Raw genomic sequence first — 21,837 nt, 5'->3', positions numbered from 1 at the left:
GAGATGGTAATGTTTTGATTTTTAGTATTTATCCCGGCTGATATTCTCTAAGCTTCCTGGATCTGTGGTTTTGTGTCTATCATTATCTTTGGGATATTCAGTCACTCTTGCTTCAAATGTTTCTTCTATTGCTTTTTAAAAAAATAAAAAATAAAAAAAAATCTGGCTGGGCGTGGTGGCTCACGCCTGTAATCCCAGCACTTTGGGAGGCTGAGGCAGGCAGATCACCTGAGGTCAGGAATTTGAGACCAGCCTGGCCAACATGGTGAAACTCCGTCTCTACTAAAAATACAAAAATTAGCTGGGCATGGTGGTGGGCGCCTGTAATCTCAGCTACTCAGGAGGCCAAGGCAGCAGAATCGCTTAACCTGGGAGGTGGAGGTTGCAGTGAGTGGAGAGCGCACCATTACACTCCAGCCTGGGTGACAAGAATGAAACTTCATCTCCAAAAATAAATAAATAAAATATTTAAAAAGTCTTCTGGTATTCCCATTTGTAGCATTTTTTATTTCAAGAATCTTTTGATTCTTAGAGCTTCCATCTCTCTGCTTATATTACCCATCTTTTTTTTTTTTTTCTTTTTTCTTTTTGAGACGGTCTTGCTCTGTTGCTCAGGCTGGAACACAGCAGCACAATCAAAGCTCACTGCAGCCTCGAACTCCTGGGCTTAAGTGATCCTCCTGCCTCAGCCCCTGAGTAGTTAGGACTAGAGGCACATGCCACAATTCATGGCTTTTTTTTTTCATAGAGACAGGGTCTTTCTGTGTTGTTTAAGCTGGTCTTGAACTCCTGGCCTCAAGCAATCCCCCTACTTGGGCCTCCTAAAGTGCTGGAATTATCTGAATTGTCCACTTTTTTCATCAGAGCTCATAGCATATTAATTGTTGCTGTTTTAAATTCCTTTGATAATTCCAAAATCTCTTGTCATGCTTGCTGGTTCTGGTTTCCCTATTGGGGTAACCTCACCTATAACAGTATTTCCCTGCCTGTCAGTGTCATACTCTTAATATTAATGTTTTGTGGAAAGAAAGAACACAGATGGGAAGGAAGACAATACTTTCAAATATATGAAAAATAATGAATATATTATCTTGGAAATCTGCCTTTCAGAAAGCTCCTCTAACTGTAAATGCAGAGCCCTAGCATGAAGTGGTACCTGCAGCCTGAATGCATCGCATCTGAGTTATGGGCAAAGGCAGCACTGCCTGATGGCCTCCTTCCCATGTCATCTCCTCACCGATGATCTGTTACAGGTCTGGTCTTCCATTTTCAAATAAGGTCTATCATTTTTTTGTCCTTAATAAGATAAAAATGAATTTATCGAGTTTTATTATAAGGGAAAAACTATTTGCCAAATGATTATTCTTCAATAAATAATTTATCTGAGAAATTATTCTTGGTGTTCTATTTTAATCTGTATACTCATTATTATCTTATAAATGCCTATGCACCCTTTAAATGTTTTGGGTTTTTTGTTGTTGTTTTTAAGAGACAGGGTCTCACTCTGTCACTCAGGCTTAAGTGCAGTGGTGTAATCTCGGCTCACTGCAGCCTTGACTTCCCGGGCTCAAGCGATCCTCCCACTTCAGCCCCCCAAGTAGCTGGGACTACAGGTGTGTGCCACCATGCCTGGCTAACTTTTGTATTTTTTGTAGAGACAGAGTTTTGCCATGTTGCCCAGGCTGGTCTCGAACTCCTGAGCTCAGGTATTCCACCCACTTCAGCCTCCCAAAGTGCTGGGATTACAGGCATGAGCCCCTGCGCCTGGCCTTGAATGTTTTCATTGTCAATACATTTGGGAATGTTGTGCCAGAAGACTATCAAATAATTTTAACCTCTGTGAACAATGAAAAACTATCAATGATGAAAAATATAAAGCAAATTTTCTAAAATGTCTTTATTTTTAAAACCTATAGTTTCAATTTAGTAAAAAATATTGCCATGAAATTTCTAACTATACAGCAACAGAAACAAAAAAATACAGTTAATTAGAGGTTACTCAAAATAAATTCACAATTTTAAAGTTGGAATATATATGCTTTTTTCAAATAAACAAAAGATATTTTTTCAGATGTTTTTCCTCTTAAACATCAGATATACATAATCTTTTGAACTGGAGCTAGATGACCTCTCAATAACTTCAGAAATAAGTGCTTATATTAACATGGAAAATAAAATAACCCCCAAACCATACAATTAATGATTTACTCATAAAACTAAAACCCAAATAGATCATTGCTTTAAAATATCTACCTCTTGAAAATGAAATCTACATCTGAGTTGTGAAGAGGAATAAGCTTTTTATAGAAAAAGCTGAATCTTCCAGACTGGTTAAGTTACTTCCTATCAAATTTATCCTATTCAGACTATTTTCATATGTCTTAATCCTGAAAGAATGTGAGGTGTTAAAATATGAAATGCTTCTTTGGCCCTTTAGATAGAGGTACCTTAACTGTAAACAACTGCAATGAGAGCCTTCTAGATGTGGACACTTATGCTGAATTGAAGATGTACATCCTTGTTTCTTAAAGGCATGGTAATTTCCTTTTTAACAATAACAGGTTTTTTAATGTATTGAGATTTGTTTTTAAATGCTTTAAAAATCAAAATTCATGTATACTACTATAAAAGAATAATTCTCCAAAGATCAAAGAAAAGCATTATATGATATTACACCATAGGTTTTATTAACGATAAATGTTTGCATTACTTTTAAAAGCTTAGCTCTTACTAAGCATTCTTTAACAAAAGCTAATAAGCAAGAAATCATTTGCCATACGGAAACTATATTCACAAACAAGACTTTAATCCAATATTGAAAGCTAAAGAATTAGAAAAAATACAAAACACTGCTATGAGTCAATTGAACTGCTATCATTGAATTTGCTGCATTTAGAATGACATAAACATACTGAACATAAAAACAATTTTATGGATTTATTCTATAAGACTAGCATTAAGAATGACATACAATTTGTGATTTCCTTTAAAAATAATTTTTTACAACAGAATCCATTTGAACAAAGGGTCTTTTTTTTTTCCCCTCATTTGAGGGGAAGACAATCTATGTTTCCCAAACAGATCCTCCTTTCATACTAAAATAGCAAACTGTGGCCTCGATCTCCTCTTCCCAGATGCTACTTATAGATGACTTTGCATAATAACTTAATTAGAATTACTTTTCTGGTAACAGTGTCACGGCCATAAATAATCAGTTTTTAAAAAACAAACATCAAGTGCAAATCTAGAAAACTTCCTTTAAAGAATTACCCAAACCCAGCACACATGCAGAATCATTATTAACAAGCTAAGCAATATGACTTTAAAACGTGTATATAATGATACACGTGCACTAAAGACCATCTTTTATAAAGTTTTAATAGTGTTGCCAAGTTAATAATTCTTTCAAGGCACTGGAGAATTACACAGATGGAGTTTCCAAAATATAACTGACAATTGCTTGAACTGTTAAAAAGCCCTGAGTCAGAACTTTCAATAACTTCCTGAAATTATAGATTGCAGACAAAATGGCACGTTTATTTTACTTTAAAAATTACAGGACCATTTTGCTTTTTGGAGGAAATAAGCTGGGTTTATGAAACAAATCATGCAGACTATACAGGAAAAGTAAAATATTCAGCATATGACCTTTCTTAGACATTTTGTACATGTCGATCACAACTTGTAGTTACAGATTTAGGCACCAAATTAATGTGACAAGTCACTTCTCCTGTACCTACTGCTTAAATTCTCAATGAAACAAAAATGTCAATTTTAACCTCAGGTTCCCATTTCCTCTTTACTCACAAATAAGAATAAATGCTGGAAAAAGTAATACTCTGACAGAAAAGGAGGTAGAAAATGCCAATGTAGCAATTTACAATTTTAATTCATCGGCTCTACTGTCTAGTTTACGTTTTTATACCAGAGTTTCACATACTACTAACCAGTAAATTGAGGCTCAATCTAAAGGATATTCCCCCTCACTGTAGTAAAGCAATGTACACGAGACAGCATTAAAGTTTCCTCAAATTTAATGTTTTAAAGAAGTACAACTATCATTATTAATACTGCTATAGTTATATATATGTTAAATTTCCTAGGCTATATATGACTATCAAGTAATATCAGTAAGCATTCCTATCATAATATTCAAGCAAATGAAGTAACGTTGCCTTTTTGAGGGAAAACATATTTTGAAACTTTTACAAGCAGACATAAAGACAGTTGACACTTCCAACAAGGCACACATAATTTATGAAAATCTATTATGTTCCCAATTGTACAAACTCAAAGCTAATCTAATTCTGATATTTAAAATGTGCCTCTCCCCTCTGGCTCAAAATGAAATAACAAACCCTTCCAATGAATAGACATTTAAAACCTACTCAATTTAATTGCTAACAATTCAGAGGAGAGGTGCACTGTCCCTCCCAAAAATTTTAAGAACTTAATGTTTACCATGACCTTAGATCTTGCAAACACAAACAACTAAAGAATTTAGGTGTTTCTTGATTTATATGGAGTCAAAATTCTATTCCACTGAGGAGAAAACAAAAAGGGGAGTTGTTTAATGGGTATGGAGTTTCAGTTTTGCAAGATGAAAAAGTTCTGGAGATCTGCTTCACAACAGTGTAAATGTACTTCACATGGCTGAACTGTATTCTTTAGAAACAGTTAATATGGTAAATTTTATGTTATGAGTTTTTCATCACAAAAAATACAAAAAACTATTCAAAAATTCAATTTTTTACACAAATTATTACTATAAAACATGGTAGACATTCTGATAGGATAAGTGCTTTTCCTTTTGGATTAAAAAAAGCAACCTGTATTAAAGCCTATAATTTGATGACATCTGTATGATCCTCTTTTTTTCTCTACACTCAAATGCTGACTTTCCTTTCCTATCTGTTGTAACCCCACTGTCCTGATCCTACTCTACCCCATCTCTAATTCTCTTAGTTCATGAATTTAACTAATTCTTAGTCCAAAAAGGGTCCAGAATTCAGAGTGGACAAACAGCAATTGGGCAACACATAGACAGTATGTTTCTACTATGTAAAAATGACCCAGCAAGTTTTGATATTTGAACCAGACACATCTTAAGCAGCATGCATTTCAATATGCTAAAATGCTCTTACAGGCTAACACCATAAAAATATAAATTTTAGAAATGTATTTCCAACATTAATTATCAATTAATTTTATGCTTCCATAGCTAGCTGGTCAATTTGCAATGTTTAAAGTTACAAATATCTTATGCATAATTTGACCAACTAAACATTTGTCTAATATATTCCTACACTAATACAAAATTATCTTTTCTTGAAAACCTTCTTGCTCCCAACAAAATTAAATATGTATATAGTATAAGCAGTAAGAACGTTAAATTACGTGAACAAATACCATTAGAACAGCACCATCTGGTATGTTGTATGTGTATGTTTTGAGTAACAACGCTAACAATCTTAGAAGAATAAAGGAGAAAATGGTAGGGTGAGGGATACAGAGAGGAAATCCAAACACTACTCAATGACAACTCTTCTGAAACGTTAGGAAATGTTATCAGGACCTTTGGATCTCTTCCTTTTAACTACAGATTCCTTAAAATACACAACTGCTGCACAATAAATTCTGAGTGTGCTAAGATGCCATTTTTCCACTGTTGTGTATCTAATCCCTAAAGCCCAATAAATACTTTTTTGAATGAATGCGTGTCAGTTTTTTTCTTTTTTATAAATGTTTCTAAGAAAAGTAAAAGCTCTTTTGAGGCACAAGATAAAGAGGTTTAGCTAATGAGCAGGGTAACGAACCTAACTGGAAAAGTACTGCTAAGGGACATATAATAAGAGGTAGCAGATTCAGAGAGTTGGAGGAAAGTCACTGAAATGATGAAGTTCTTAATCTTATTATCTCTCACAAACCCAAAATAAATTTAAAATAATTCTAAGTGATTGAAAACATGAATAAAGAAGTATTTTCTATTCATGGAACAAATTTCAAGGTGATACAAATACAGAAAACCCACAAGTACTAGCACTAAAATTATAATGACATTATTTCTATAATAAAAATTTATGTCATATTCTTATAAAGGAAATAATTAAACTAGTCTGGAAGATGCTATTACCTTTTAGGGATCTGTTTTAGCACTGCAGCTCAGAAAACAGAAAGGATTTGTTTAAGGAAAGTAGAGCTGGAGACCACACAATTCTCTGATTGGCCAAACTCTGCATGAGTCAGCCAGGTGCTCCCTCCTCACCAGGTGATCTAGTGGGAAGAGATGGGTAGCCCATGGCATGGAAGGAAAGGAAAAACCTGACATGCTGTTTTCATGTCTGCAACATGATAGTCTGTCTGTCTCTTTATGTGAACATCATCAGTCAGATGTTCTACCTTTTTATAACTTCAAAATAGTTTTAAAAACAGCGTCGGTGGCCCCTTATTAGATAACTGAGTGTACATGAATTTTCAAATTTGAAATCTATAAAAATTTTACTGTTCTAAATGATAGCAGTTACTCAGCTAAACACAGACATGGAATTGTTGAGACTACAAAACCAGCCAGCAAAGCTCCCCATTGCTTTCACCAGGACTTGCAAAGGCAGCAAGGATTAAACAGCCAGAAACAGTGTAAGAGGGCTAGAGACTTCATACTTTCAAATTTAGTTGGTGTTCTATAAAAACTGAAGTAAGAAAAGCTAGCCAGATTTAAAGGAGGGAAAAAAACTACAAAAGAGGATAACTATTTTTAGGAAAAAGCTTATCAACAGCATATAGTAGACACTATGTAAACACCTGATATAATCTAGCAGCAATGAATCCCCAAACATTTATGTGTATATTTACTCAGGAGACAATAAGATTACAAAGGAGATAAAAGGAGAAAAAAAATGATTAAATGCTCCAAAAATTTTGTTTGTTTTTAAAGTCTACAGGTAAGCAGACATTTCTATACATGTCCTGGTCACTCTTTCTAAAGTATTTATAATTAGGTTATTGACCATGTCTTGGATATTGTTGGCAGTTTAAATAATACCCTCATCCGTAGGTATACACAGAAAGACTGTTTTCTTTATAACAAAAAATACTATAAAGAAAGAGATAATGGAAATAAGGCCTATAATGAAGACAGAATCACTAACACTGTCAGAATTAACTGATACAGAGAAGAAAAGATTTTTTCTTGGAAAAGGCATTAATTTTGCAGATCACTGGGATACTATGTACATCTGCAAAGCTAAATAGAACCTCAGAGGTCCAAATAGGGCAATGTCATTTCACTGGTCAGATCAAGCCCAGATAAGTAATCACAGAAAACCGGAAGTACACTTTTCATAGATTTTTTTTAAAAACACTGGCTGAACAAAATAGTGTATAAATTAATGTAAGAAAGGCAACTGTTAGTGGCCAGTTAATAGATACTCGTTTTTTTTTTCTCTTCAGTTGCCCACTATTATTGCTTATTTTTCCTTTTCTTGTCTATCAGTCACCTTGAAACTGGTAATCTGATTCAAGTTAAACAATGTTCCTTTTGAATCTAGAAAACAAGAGAAATGCAAAGTCATTATTCCCTCATTCTATGCTTCCATTTACTCTAAGAATTCAGAAACAAACATGTGGGTAACTTCCTGTTATCTTAAAAAAAGAATCATCCCTTCGGTATTCCCTTAACTATCTGGAACTTGTACTGTCATTTTATAATTTACCATGTGACATAATTGTTTGACCTGCCTCTTTTATTTGATGCATGACTTCTCAGAGAACCTGTTATCAACTCACTGTGTAAAACCACGATGAAATGAAGGATAACTGATCACAAAGAATTATGTCTTTTGAGATCCAACAAATTTACAAATTATAAGAGAAAAATGCAATTTTTTAAAAAAGGATATCCTTAAAGGACTTTCCTCTTAGAAGCCAAAGGTAAATTATCCTATGAGTTACATGAATTTGATGTTTCAAATTTAAAACAAAAACAAAAAACACAATTTCCAACACCATTTTGTAGGGTTTTTTGTTCTGGTACATTTACAGCCCAATTATACTCTAGTAAAGAAACTATGATATTAGAAATTAACTCATCAGAACTTCCAACTAGATCAAAAGCCTATTAAGATCTCATGACTAGATACATTAGCTAACAAAATACACCATGTGTCTTAGTTAATACAAAAGAATCCTTCGTTCAATAGCCTTGCGACAGATAGGACATTCACTCATGCGGTCTCCACAGAGTTGACAGGTTCCGTGACCACAAAGGAAAATCATATTCTTCAGACGATCTAGACACACAGGGCACATTGTCTGTAATGTGAGATAACAAAGTAATAAATTAGACACTTTATATTTGGAAAGTGACAGACTGTTATATATCATTAATTTTCTTTAGTTGTTTTAGTCAAATAATATTTTGGTGGTTTTTAAAAACAATTTTTTAACATTTTTAAATAGTTAAAATGTCATCCCTATAAAATAAAATAGAAACACTGGTTGTACTATCAGGATAGTATGAAAGGTACTACATAAGATTAAAAACTATTAATATATAAAACACAGCCAGACACCCTGGCTCACACCTGTAATCCCAGCTACTCAAGAGGCTGAGGCGCGAGAATCACTTGAACGCGGGCAGCAGAGATTGCAGTAAGCCAAGATCGCGCCGCTGTGATAGAGGCAGGAGGCAGAGAAATTCTAGGCAGACAAGGGTGGGTCCCCAGTGAAACCCAACCTTTGAGCTGAAAAGCCTGAAACCCACAGGCCAAAGTGAGAACTTCTATTCCTGCTTGCCCACTCTCTCCCAATTGGTTCTTTCTTTCTTTTTTTTTGAGATGGAGTCTCACTCTGTCGCCAGGCTGGAGTGCAGTGGCGCAATCTCGGCTCACTGCAACCTCCGCCTCCTGGATTCAAGTGATTCTACTGCCTCAGCCTCCTGAGTAGCTGGGACTACAGGTGCGCACCACCACACCCAGCTAATTTTTTTGTATTTTTAGTAGAGATGGGGTTTCACCATGTTGGTCAGGATGGTCTTGATCTTCTGACCTCGTGATCTGCCCACCTCAGCCTCCCAAAGTGCTGGGATTACAGGCATGAGCCACCACGCCCAGCCCAACTGGTTCTTTCTAAATAATGTCTTTTTACCAATCGATTGTTGCCTTTTCCAAAACTACCCACAGCCCACCCTGCCCACTCCTCCCATGTTGTGCCTTTAAAGACTCCAGACCCAGGTAGTAGAGGGGAGAGAGGCAACTTGACTTCAAAGGGATGACTGGACTTCGGAGGAGAGATGGCTTAACTTCAGGGAAGAGATGGCCGGACTTCAGGGGAAGATTACCTACCCGTCCCACCCCCACTCCAGTTCCCCTCTCTGCTGAGAGCCATTTCCATCACTTAATAAAACTCTCTGCCTTCACCATCCTTCAAGTGTCCAGGTGACCTCATTCTTCTTGAACACTGGACAAGAGCTCGGGACACACCGAGTGTGGGTACCCAAAATAAGGCTGTTACACTGGCCCTTTGCCCTCACTGGCGGAGGGCAGCTACCCCACACTATGAGGCAAGGGGCCAACTGAGCTGATAACACACCGCTGTCCGTGGACGGCAGAACTAAGAGAGCACTCTAACATGCCCTCAGGGGCTTTGGAGTCGCAGGCACCCCCACCTGGGTGCCGCTGCATGGATCCTGCAATTGCTCGTTCATGTGCTCCCTCCCGCAAACAGTTGAGCACAGTGGCCAAGTAAGCAGCGCACCTCTGTCGCAAGTATGACAAAGGGGTTGAGAAAAATCCTGCATCAACTGCTCTCCAGCCTGGGCGACAGAGCAAGGACTCTGTCTCAAAACAAACAAACAAAAAAACCTATATAAACCAAAACGTAATAGGAAATGGATGAAAATAGCTCCATTCAGTCTAACTGAAATTCCCTGAATCTAGGTACTCAGCTGCTCTTGCATAAAAAGAAGGCAATGTATCATGCAATACATGGTGCAGGGTGGGGAGCAGTGCTGAGAAGTAGCTGAGAACACTTGTCAGGCACTATGCTTAGATAGGATACAATCTCAGTCCTGGTATCATTCCCACTTGGAAAATGAGGAAAACGAGGCTCAGCGGGATTGAAAACCTTCCTCAAAGCAAGCCCTAGAGTGAACCAACTCAGGGCCCCAAAGTTCTTGCTCTTAGACACTGTGCTGCACTGTATTACTATCAATGTAGATTCCCCTGAATTAAAACAAATTAGCCTTAGTTACATATTAATAAATGTAAATTTCATGAACTTGAAAGAATGTAAAAGTATGTCAGGTATATGTCTGAAATACTATTTATTCACAAAACACATTTTACATTTATAAAATCATATTTGCCTTAATGTATAATACTTCTGATTTATAGCTTTCCCAAATAACATGGAAATGAAATAATTAAAAAGAAATGTCTTCATTAAAAAACTAGGCCTAAAGCCTATATGACATGTTGTTACCAACTGTTACCAACTTTGAGAATACCAGAGATCATTGTAAAAGGAATTGTAGCCTAAATTGGTAGCCCCACTCCTCCAAAGCAAACTGTCACATTTTTGTCTTAAAGTTTTGAGAAGCAAAGCTATAGAAAATCCCATCTTTTTAGATTTTTAAAAAGCCGGCCAGGCGCGGTAGCTCACGCCTGTAATCCCAACACTTTGGGAGGCCGAGGTAAGAGGATCACTTGAGCCCACGAATTCAAGACCAACCTGGGCAACACAGACATCATCTCTACAAAAAATAATAAATTAGCCAGGTGTGGCAGCACATGCCTGTAGTCCCAGCAACTTGGGAGGCTGAGGTGGGAGAACTGCTTGAACCCAGGAGTTTCAGTATGCAGTGAGCCATGATTGTGCCACTGCACTCAAGCCTGGGTGACAGAGTAAGATCCTGTCTCAAAAAAAAAAGAAAAGCAAAATAGATTGATAATGTTATTAATAATTTCATGTCTATTAAATTTTCAAGAGGTCTTTGTAATATTGAATAACTCTTATTTCCAAAAGTAGACACATCTGTGCAGCCTGTGTTTACTTTGAGATTAGTATATCCTTAATACCAAGTTAAATTAAATTTTATCTGTTAAAGACACATTGGGGTAATAGACTGGAGATTTAAATGAGCAGAGTTATTCGAATGTTTTCTGGTTGTTGTTTGTTTTTTTTTTTTAATAACCTTGAAGGGAGTCCCTATAAGAAATCCCATCATTCCTCATAAGATGAGTTTTGATAAAACTGTTTAAATACTTCAGTGATAAAATATGGCGATGAGGATTATTTAAGAAAGTATAAACTTGGGTAGAATGCTAAACTTTGGATATAGTAGAGCAGAATTATTCTTTTAGGATCCATATAGGGTTCAATAAATGTCACTATTCATGTTAAGAACAATTTTAATTCATAATTAGAATATAAAATGCTTTTTATAGAAGATGTGTTCAAAACTCAGCTTATTCTGTAGATGTCTTATGGGAAAGGAATCAAGATGCTAGGAGCTTCAAATGTTTAAAAATGTTTTTATTTTATATTAGATGTATTATATTAGATGTATTAGATATATTAAATGTTTTATTTTATATTAGAACTAGCCAAATATGTCCCAAATTACATTAAGAACCATTAAATTCATATTGATCTTCACTTATTCATTCTATAAAAAGTATTGCTAGATGCTGGATTTCAAAAGAAAAACTGGCCTAATCAGAGTTTTCATCTCTTCAGATGGGGGTTTAAATGCCTAATAAATTCATACATTCAATTCTTTCCCTCCACCCCCTACAAAGAGATGGTTTCTCACTCTGCCGTCTGGGATGGAGTGTAGTGGCGCTGTCATAGCTCATTTCAGCCTCAAACTCTTGGGCCCCAGTCATCCTCCTGCCTCAGTTCCCCAAGTAGGTAGGACTCCAGGCATGTGTCATAACAGTCTGCTGATTTATTTTAAAAATTTTTGTAGAGACAGGGTCTTGTTACGTTGCTCAGGCTGATCTCAAACTCCTGGGCTCAAGCAATTCTCCCAGCTCAGCATGCTGAGCAGCTGGGATTACAGGTACACATCACTCACTGCAACTGACCAATTCTTAATTAGTTATCACAAGGGTCATTAGTTATCCTGGGCCGCTAACTACTGACTATGTTATTTTCTTATAAATTCAGATAGAAAACACAGGAGTGATGATTCTAACAACTGCATGGCAATACTGACGTGATTGGCCAAACTAAAGAACTGCTCAAGCCTGTGAATCAGATTTAGTAACTTGGTCAAATGGTAAGGTATGGCCAGAAAGAAAAAATACTTGCTATCTTACTTAACATAACAAACCTACAAGTTTTTGCTAATTTTTTTATCTTATTGTTGCTTTTATTAAATATTAGGTAGAAATAAAAGAGCATATTTGTTGATATATATAAGACGTAAAGAACAGCCAGGCACAGTGACTCACGCCTGTAATCTCAGCACTCTGGGAGGCCAAGGTGTGTAGATCCCTTGAGGCCAGAAGTTCAAGACCAGCCTGGAAAACACGGCAAATCCCTATCGCTACTAAAAATATAAAAATTCGCTGAGGGTGGTGGTGTGCACCTGTAGTCCCAGCTACTTGGGAAGCTGAGGCATGAGAATCACTTGAATCTGGGAGGCAGAGGTTTCAGTGAGCCAAGATTGCGCCACTGCACTCCAGCCTGGGTGAGAGTGAGACTCTAAAAAAAAAAAAAAAAAAAAAAAAAAAGACATAAAGAACAACATAACCAACACCCAGGTTAAAGTATGGAACGTTACTCTTATTTTTGAAGCCCCTCTATAAATCCTCCCCAATCCTTTCCATGTATCCCCCACTGATGACTACTATTGTGAATTTTGCATTATGTTTCCCCTGCTTTTCTTTATGGTGTATATGTATACAGACACATTTTTCCTTTTTTTTTTTTTTTTTTTTTTTTTGAGACAGTCTCACTCTGTCGCCCAGGCTGGAGTGCAGTGGCATGATCTCGGCTCACTGCAACCTCCACCTCCCGGGTTCAAGCGACTCTCCTGACTCAGCCACCAGAGTAGCTGCGACTACAGGTGCGCGCCACCATGCCTGGCTAATTTTTGTATTTTTAGTAGAGACGGGGTTTTGCCATGTTGGCCAGGCTGGTCTTGAACTCCTGACCTCAAGTGATCTGCTCGCCTCAGCCTCCCAAAGTGCTGGGATTACAGGCATGAGCCACCACGCCCGGCCCCTTTCTATTAAAGTATCACATGTATATAGAAATGTTCATGACTCATAAGTGTACAGTTTAATACAAGTTCACAAACTAATCAAATTCATTTATCTGGTACTCAGATCAAGAAACAGAGCATCCAGACTCTAGAAACTTCCCTTCTTCCCTTGTGCCCCTTCCCAGCCATCTCTTACCAAGAAAACCACTATCCTTGACTTTTTTTTTTTTTTTGAGATGGGGTCTCACTCTGTCACCCAGGCTGGAGTGCAATGGCGTGATCACAGCTCACCACAGCCTCGATCCTCAGGTTCAAGTGATCCTCCCACCTCAGCCTCCAAGTAGTTGGGAGGTCACCACACCCAGCTAATTTCTTATTTGTAGAGTTGCGGTCTCACTATGTTGTGCGGGCTGGTCTTGAACTCCTGGGCTCAAGAAATCCTCCTACATTGGCCTCCCAAAGTGCTGAGATTGCAGGCATGAACCACTGCGCCTGGACTACCTTCAACTTTTAATACCATCTGTATGGGTTTTTTCCAAGTTTATATTCCAAACAATAACCTGTTCCATTTTATTAGATAATGACAAACTGTCTTCCGAAGTGTTTCTACTAATATATATTCCCACCAGCAGTGTATGAGTTACGGCTGCTACATATTCTGCCTAACATTTGATACTGACAGTCTTTAACATTTTCCTCAATCTAATACTTATGAAAACTTCCTTGTGGCTTTAGTTTTCATTTCCTGATCACTAATGTGGTTGGACCATTTTTTCATATTCATTGGCCATTTGTGTGTTACCTATTTTGGAAAGTACCTGATTAAACCCTCTAATCAGATTATTACTCATTGCAAATATGCAAATAATACAAGTGATACACTAATATAAACCATACTTATTACAGAAACACTAGTAGTTTTACGGGAAAATATTCAGTGCCATTCACAGCATCACTGTTTACATGAAATCATTATTACCTGCTCTTTAATGTCTTGTAACTGTTGCTGCAACTTTTGCACATCTGCATTGACATTGGTATTATCCTTGTCCTTTTGTAATACTGGAATATTCCCACTTGCTATAATATAGATTTAAAAAGATTTTCAGTTATTATTGCTTTGACAGAATGACATTTATAAAATAAAATATTACTGTTTTGTTTATTAAAAACATAAAACTATTATTAAAATCCTCTTCAAAAATTTTTCTCACACTTGGACAACATACAGTAGTGACGTTCTGTTACACTTTTCCATTTATGAACTCCAAAAAGAAACAGTTTGCACATTAATTTCTAATTATATTTATCTCAGCCAGAGCACAATCCAGACACAGACTTCTGGGTTTTCCAAGGCTCTACGTGCTTCCTTTGGCAAGCTCATCAATACATTTTATGCTTGCTTCCTCTGCTCCTGTACCATATGAACCAAGAAAGTAACCAGCAGGGCTTTGGTCAGCTTTGGCAGCAATAATTATTTTAAAGTCTCTCAGATGATTTTTATGAGGACGTACACAAATCTAGCCTCCTTTCTTTATGACTAAACTTCCTCGTTATTACTGATCTGAGATGAGGAACTCAAGAAAGGCCATCATCTGTAGTATGCAAACATGGAGGGAAATCTTTGATTTCACTTTTCCTATTCTCTAGATTCTTGGTCTTTTATTCTAGTTAATCTGTCCCTGAGATTTTTATTATTCTGTTCTATTTGTGATAAAGACAAAAGCCTCAGACAGAAGTTGCTACACACTAATGCTCTTCCTCATCTGCTCATAAAACATGTTCAGAGAACAAAGAAATCAAAGAAACCATTCAGCTAATATCTAATGCAAAGAGAAAAAATACTTTGAAACAACTGTACTATTGAAAATGTTGAGGGTAAATCATTTATTTTTCATTTTTCCACCCTTTCACTGTTACATTTTTGTTTACCTATAGTTACTCTGTCCCAAATAATTACCATTCCATAAAATACTTAAATGAAGCAAATAAACCTGTTGCATAATGGAAGCAGGTTAATACTTTCAGTAAACTGAAAAATAAATTGTAATATGGTGTCCCACCCCTTGACAAAACACACTAAATTTCATCTTAAAAATAGAGCACAAATTTTCTTTATGCAAGAACACAACAATATTCTTTATAGCATACATGCAGGTTTCTCAGAAGACTGATGTTCACAGTTCCATAATCACACAAAAATAGAACTTCAGGTTTCTTATAATATAATAAGAGCACCAGAAAACAATACCTGTTCCACTGTGGATCCAAGTCAGACATCTTAGGTTTTATAAGGCAGTAGTGTATTACGAAAGAGAAGAGGTGTTTATGCAAGTCCCAAAAAAAAGCAAAATATGAAAATGCTTAAGACAATCGACTTACAGATATCATCAGTGGCATCTTCTGAACTTTTCCCTCCACAGCACATAATGAAAGGCACTCTTCGTTCAACTACTGCTCGACACTGCACACACTTTTTCATCAGGTTAGCACAGTCTGGAAAACGGTAACACAGACACTTCTTACAAGAGAGAACATTAATAGGAGTGTTGCCTTTCTCTGCTAATTTTTATGACTTAAATTTCACACTGAAATAAATGTTATACAAGTTATAGCAATATGCAATTCTACCTCCTTAAAATGTTATCAACCTAAGAATGAGTATTCTCCATCGGTAGCCTCCAGAATAGAGAGCCCATCATTATGAAAACAATGACATTTTCCAATACAGCTGAATAAACTGTGAAATTTGTTTTTTAAAGAAATAAGTGACACAATAAATATTTCAAGATTTTAAGACTTGAGAATAAAGGAGAGAGATACTATTGACAAATGTCAACTAATACTAGAATTATAAGCTTGCTTACGTGATAATTTTCTTTATATTTCTTTATTTTTATTTTACTTTAAGCTCTGGGATACATGTGCGGAACGTGCAGGTTTGTTACATAGGTACAAGTGTGCCATGGTGGTTTGCTGCACCTATCAACCTGTCATCTAGGTTTTAGGCCCTGCAGGCATTAGCTATTTGTCCTAATGCTCTCTCTCCCCCTGCCCAACACCCCCGGACATGATAATTTTCTAAAAACATTTTCTTTTGTAAATGGCTTTTCGCTAAAATACAATGAACAATTATTTCCTTCTCTTATCAAATTGATGCAATGTAACAAGGAAATTGCTTAGTGATTACTTTTTTAATATAGCAGTTCAGGAAAAAAATTTAATTTTCATAAAAGACTATCTTTCTAATATTTGATTTACAAAGGCTATAAACAATATTTCAGAAGAATGCATTCCTATTCCAATAAGAAATATCTAGGCACAACTGTATGTTGTTATGATTGTTTTTTTTTTGTTTTGTTTTGTTTTTTGTTTTTTGTTTTTTTTTTGAGACGGAGTCTCGCTCTGTCGCCCAGGCCGGACTGCGGACTGCAGTGGCGCAATCTCAGCTCACTGCAAGCTCCGCTTCCCGGGTTCACGCCATTCTCCTGCCTCAGCCTCCCGAGTAGCTGGGACTACAGGCGCCCGCCACCGCGCCCGGCTAATTTTTTGTATTTTTAGTAGAGACGGGGTTTCACCTTGTTAGCCAGGATGGTCTCGATCTCCTGACCTCATGATCCACCCGCTTCGGCCTCCCAAAGTGCTGGGATTACAGGCGTGAGCCACCGCGCCCGGCCCTGTTATGATTGTTAATACTACCTTACATCTAAACTTGTTAATTAATTATAAAATAACACACAGCAATTCAACATATTCTTTCTCATTAACATTCATTATGAAAATATATTCCATATCTTAGCCTACATATCAAGTGTCTTGTTCATTTCAAAAATGGGAAAAATAATGGGAACCATGGCAGAATATCCAGGTTATGGCAAACCACTAGATTTGAACAAAGCACAAAACCACTGATGTGGACAAAGTAGGGCCTACACTCCTAATAGTTTGCCATGCACACTGCTGGATGGAGAACAGTCAGTTACCAAGGCTGACCTCTTGCCAAAGCCTAAACATAAATGGGTCTGACGCTCGGTTATACAAGTGCACTAGGTAGGAGCCAACGTTAAGTAGAAATCTGGTTTGGGATTTGTCTTCAATTTGAAGGCAGATTTTTTTCTTAAACATAAAGGACTAATTGACTAAATATATAATACATAAACACAATTATCTAAAATTAACTGTTTAGTTCAGTTATTGTATTGTTTCTATCTTTGCTTCTATCTTCTCTATTTGTGTTGTTTCTATCTGTATTGTTTCTAATCTTTCTTCAGCACCTCCAAAAGGGATGTAATCTCTCCTTCCTTTGGCTTGCCAAGGCACTTTCACCGCCTAACATGACTGCGATGGGGGTACTGGACGAACTACATTACTGTATACTCCTTGGGAAAGGCATATGTTCCACCTCAGTTTCATCTCCGTTAGCAAATAAATGTTTAAGAGCATGTCTATAAAATCAAGAAAACCATCTACTTCTTAGGATTGTTCTGAAAATAAATGAGGAAATACTCAAAAAGAGATTAAAATGCCTGGTACAGAATTAAGAGCTCAATAAAAGTTGGTGTTGCTCTCGTTATTAAATGCATTTTAAAGCAAAGACTGTTTTTCCTCTTCCAGAGATGCTATCTAGAGGCACTCAGCATGATCCAGTGTTTGACGCACCATCATAGGCTTTTCTACAACACAGCATCTAACAAAACTAGGCTGTCCCAAACCCTGGTATTGTTTACCTTTATATCAAGAAGGTAGGGAAAGCACCAATGTCTGCATGTGGCGTGTGCCCAGGCAGACTTCAAGGGATTTATGCTGTGAGACCTCAAGTTCTTGTGAGGTTGTCTAAAATTTTAAAAAGTGTCAGCACGACCAATGGTGTTTCCATGACTGCTAAATGTATCCACGACAGGACCAAGCATGCTTTCCTTTCAAAGAGCAGAATGTCGTCGTGAAAATGTTGAAGGCACAAGCCCAGAGTCAGAAAGCTAAATTTAAAGCTGAAGCTTTTTTAATTAAAAAAAAAAAAAAAAAAAAAAAAGGAGCAAACGCCATGTAAAAAATTCTGGAAGCTCCTGGGGGGAAATATTATATTAAGGCTCTAGAATCTGTGTGAACAACTAATAATTATAATCATCTTTCAAGTCTCATGTAGGTATCACTTTGGTGAATGACAGATGTCAGCAAACTACACCTGAGGGCCAAATCTGACGTGTCATCTGCTTTTATGAGACCAGTTTTATTGAACACAGTCAGGCCCATTTATTTACATATTTTCCATGGTTGTTTTTGCACTATAGTGCAGAGTACAGCAGTGGGAAAGAGCTGAGTGGTTACTACAGAAACCATGTGGCCTACAAAGCCAAAAATATTTACTATTTCACCCTTTACAAAAAATGTCTGCCAACCTCTGGCCTATGAAAACTTAAGTAACCTGAGTCCTTTTTTACTTAAGACAGAGAATTCTCTATGTGCCCTTTTGATAGTATTGGGTAATAGCCATTATACCACTCTTTGGTAAACAGAAACAGTCACTTTAGGCAAAATGTTACAGAAGAAAACGTTCACCCTTTCTTTAGTTGACCAGCTGCCTATTGGAATTTTTTTTTTTTTTTTTTTTTTTTTAAGACTGAGTCTCAGTCTGTTGCCTAGGCGGAGGACACGAGAATCACTTGAATTGGGAAGGCAGAGGTTGCAGTGAGCCGAGATTGTGCCACTGCACTCCAGCCTAGGTGACAGAGCGAGACTGTGCCAAAAATAAAAAATAAAATAAAATAAAATCTTTTATTGACAAAATGAAGAAAAGCAAAGGGAAGAGAATATTTAACAGTGTATGAACTTGAACAAGGGCAATATGAAAAGCAAAGGACTTCAAGAGAATATGTTTAAAAGAAACTTAAAAACATTTTTTAAATTTTAATACTGCCCTCACAAAGAAAAGATTTCTAAAAGCTCTCTTGACATAAAAGCTTACAGAAGGCCAGAAATTACAGCCCCAGAAATGGTTGCTGTTGGTTCTTCTGCAGTGAGGAAAGTACACAGGAGAGGCAATATTAAGGTGAAGCCAAATGAAGACGTGCTAATTTCATATGTGAACAAAGGCGAGACTAAATGTTTCAACATTTATTTTTCAAAATAAATTTCTATTATGTGTGGAAAGAGACCCTTTTGTGCTAATACAACTGAAATCAAAATCCAAGGTGGCAGAACACAGCATATTCAGTCTTCCCTAATGCTCAGACGCATGGAGGGAAACAGCTGACGTTCTAGTACAGAGAAAGAAATAGAAGGTACTCGAGGCCCATCAACTTTTTTATGAGTTATCCAAAATCAAAAGCAAAAAAACCCTCAAAAACATAATTTTTGTTTCACTTTCTATTTTTATAATAATATTGAGGAACTCTGCATAGGCTACTTACTCTCACAAGCACACATGTGGCCACAGGGTTGAAAAAGAACAGCTGCTTTCTTGTCAGAGCATACCACACATTCTTCAATCTATAGAAAAAGAGGTTACAGCACAGTGACCATTTACAGATAAATCTAGTAACTCTTAACAAGTTCAATTATATCCAAATGTATTTCCTCTGTAAGAAAACACCTAGGCACAGAGAAATTTAACACACACTTTCCTCCCATCCTCTACTTTCCTGGTTATTCATTTTCACATCTTTATATACCCTAGCTTAACAGGCACTTATTTCTATTCTACCTTCATCTCCCTATCTGTCCTAAAATATAGAATAGAAAAAACTCCATTTCCTCTGAGGAAGCCTCTGGAGGCTTCAATATTTTTTTCCCCCAAAAACTACTTTTGAGGGGAAACTAAAAAAGACAACGAACAAATAAAGTAGTAAAATAAGAAATGACTGAAAGACAGATTTCTAATATTAATAAAAATCTAGCTAGATTAGCCAAATTGCTAAAATCCACGAGGGATTTTTCTGTTTACCCACATTTAAGAAACTCTACCTTAAAGTGCCCTTTTCCAGGACTTGGTCAATTCCCATGCTGCCTGAAGCCCACAGCTTTGGGCTATTCTTTTTCCCTGATCTCTAGCAAGACTTCCACAGCCTATTCATAATCTCCCTCACTTTCACCTCTTCTTCATGTCCACTTAATCTGAGCTTGGACATTTAACTATTAACCACCTTGGCTCTGGCTTCCTGTATCCCTACCCCATAGCCCTTGGCTACTCATCTGTCTTTCACCTATTCTCCCTTCTAACACACAGTCACATTTAGCCATCTCTTGTGTCACCAAAAATGGTAACTACTACTCACCTACAGCATCATCCAAACAACCAAATACATGCACGTGTGCTCTCTCTCTTTCTCTCTATGGACTTTCCCAACTTACACCTCAGTATGTACATAGAATTTATGTAAGTATAGAAAAAGCAGAATGCAGAATGCAGTAAGACATAGTTGATCAAGACACTGACATTCCTGGATTCAAAATCTACCTCCAACACCAACAAATTACCTAACATTGTTGAGCTACAACATTATTTATCTAAACAATAAAGAATAATCCTTCACAGAGTGATAAAGAGTAAATCAGATATGTATAAAGTAGTTCAATGTGTAATATATAAAATCAGTGCCTAATACATAATAATTATCTTCTCCTTTCTATATAACATGTTGATTTTTAAAATGATTTCCATTGCATTTGTCTTTTTGTCTGAATTGTTTCTGAAGAGTTTAAAATAATACAGCAAACTGATCTAAAAACCATATCTGTACCTATTCCGCTATTATAAGAAAAAAAAACTGTAGCCATACCTTTTCCTCCAATTATTTCCTCAGGTTATACTTCCAGGAGTGGAGTTACTAAACCAAAGCATATTGTGTAATGTCTGTACATATAGCCGGGTTGGCCACCTAGCCTCCAGCAGTGTTTAGAGAGTGCCTGTTTGCCATTTTCCTTGCTAGCACTTTTTAAAATGTATTTTTGCTACTTCAACTGAAATAGTTCATGTTAATTCAATTAATTTCCTTCTTTGTATTTCTCTAACAGAAAAGGATCCCATGCTTGTTTATACCTCCCTCCAAATACTGTAATTTGTTTTTCTTCAATGAAGACATTCATTATCCTTTAACCACTTGGGGTCACTATTTCTTCGTAGTCAAAGGCTCTACAACCAACCTGGCAAATCTGTTGGGTGGGTATATCCGTAGTTTTTCTACTTTTCTATAGATTATAAATTTATAAGATTATAAATTATAAAACTTTCATAATTTAAAAATCAAATTGCAAGCCTATTAATTCTCAGAATAACTATATTCAAAAGGTCTGAAAAAGAACGAAAGCATATTCTTTCCTCTTTCCTCTCTCCTCTGTTCCATCAACTATCCCTTGCAGACATCGTTCTTAATTTTGTCTATGCATCATAACACAGTGAAAAGAACAGGGGCTTAAGAATCAAGAGACCTGCATTCAAGAACCAGATGTCAGTCCATTTCTTTGAGCTGCAGCTTTTATAAGAATAACTTCATAGCTGAGACTCTGCTTCTGACAACCAGAGGCTCTGAACTCCTACTCAGTTTTTAACTCTCTTAAAGCACCTACAACACCCAATATGGCAGAGTTGCTTATATATAAGTCATAGTTTACCAATAGATTACACATTTTTA

General features: G+C 36.6%; 1 protein-coding gene and 1 pseudogene across 3 annotated transcripts in view, besides 1 other annotated feature; one reads left to right on the top strand and one right to left on the bottom strand.

Annotated features, from left to right (window-relative positions):
* Nucleotides 1,883-21,837, bottom strand: part of MIB1 (MIB E3 ubiquitin protein ligase 1) — a 166,038-nt gene continuing 146,083 nt past the window's right edge. For all 3 annotated transcript variants that reach the window (XM_047437676.1, NM_020774.4, XM_011526098.2), the window contains 4 exons: nucleotides 19,618-19,696; nucleotides 15,593-15,706; nucleotides 14,190-14,290; nucleotides 1,883-8,310 (listed from right to left, as the gene is read on the bottom strand). In XM_047437676.1, coding sequence (XP_047293632.1) covers nucleotides 8,170-8,310; nucleotides 14,190-14,290; nucleotides 15,593-15,706; nucleotides 19,618-19,696 — 435 coding nt within the window. In that variant the 3' untranslated portion in view covers nucleotides 1,883-8,169. The remainder of the gene's footprint in view (nucleotides 8,311-14,189; nucleotides 14,291-15,592; nucleotides 15,707-19,617; nucleotides 19,697-21,837) is intronic.
* Nucleotides 10,542-10,741: a silencer, noted in NCBI's record as "fragment chr18:19442056-19442255 (GRCh37/hg19 assembly coordinates)". NCBI's record gives its function as "represses an EF-1alpha promoter that drives an FKBP-Casp9 reporter gene in an ReSE screen in phorbol 12-myristate 13-acetate-treated (for megakaryocytic differentiation) K562 erythroleukemia cells {active_cell/tissue: K562(+PMA)}" and the evidence as "EXISTENCE:reporter gene assay evidence [ECO:0000049][PMID:32094911]".
* Nucleotides 17,849-18,191, top strand: RPL34P32 (ribosomal protein L34 pseudogene 32; annotated as a pseudogene).

The sequence above is a fragment of the Homo sapiens genome, chromosome 18, assembly GCF_000001405.40.
Source record: "Homo sapiens chromosome 18, GRCh38.p14 Primary Assembly".
Taxonomy (NCBI): domain Eukaryota; kingdom Metazoa; phylum Chordata; class Mammalia; order Primates; family Hominidae; genus Homo; species Homo sapiens.
The sequence above is the reverse complement of the archived record's forward strand: the minus strand, read 5'-3'. Positions and strand labels throughout refer to the sequence as shown.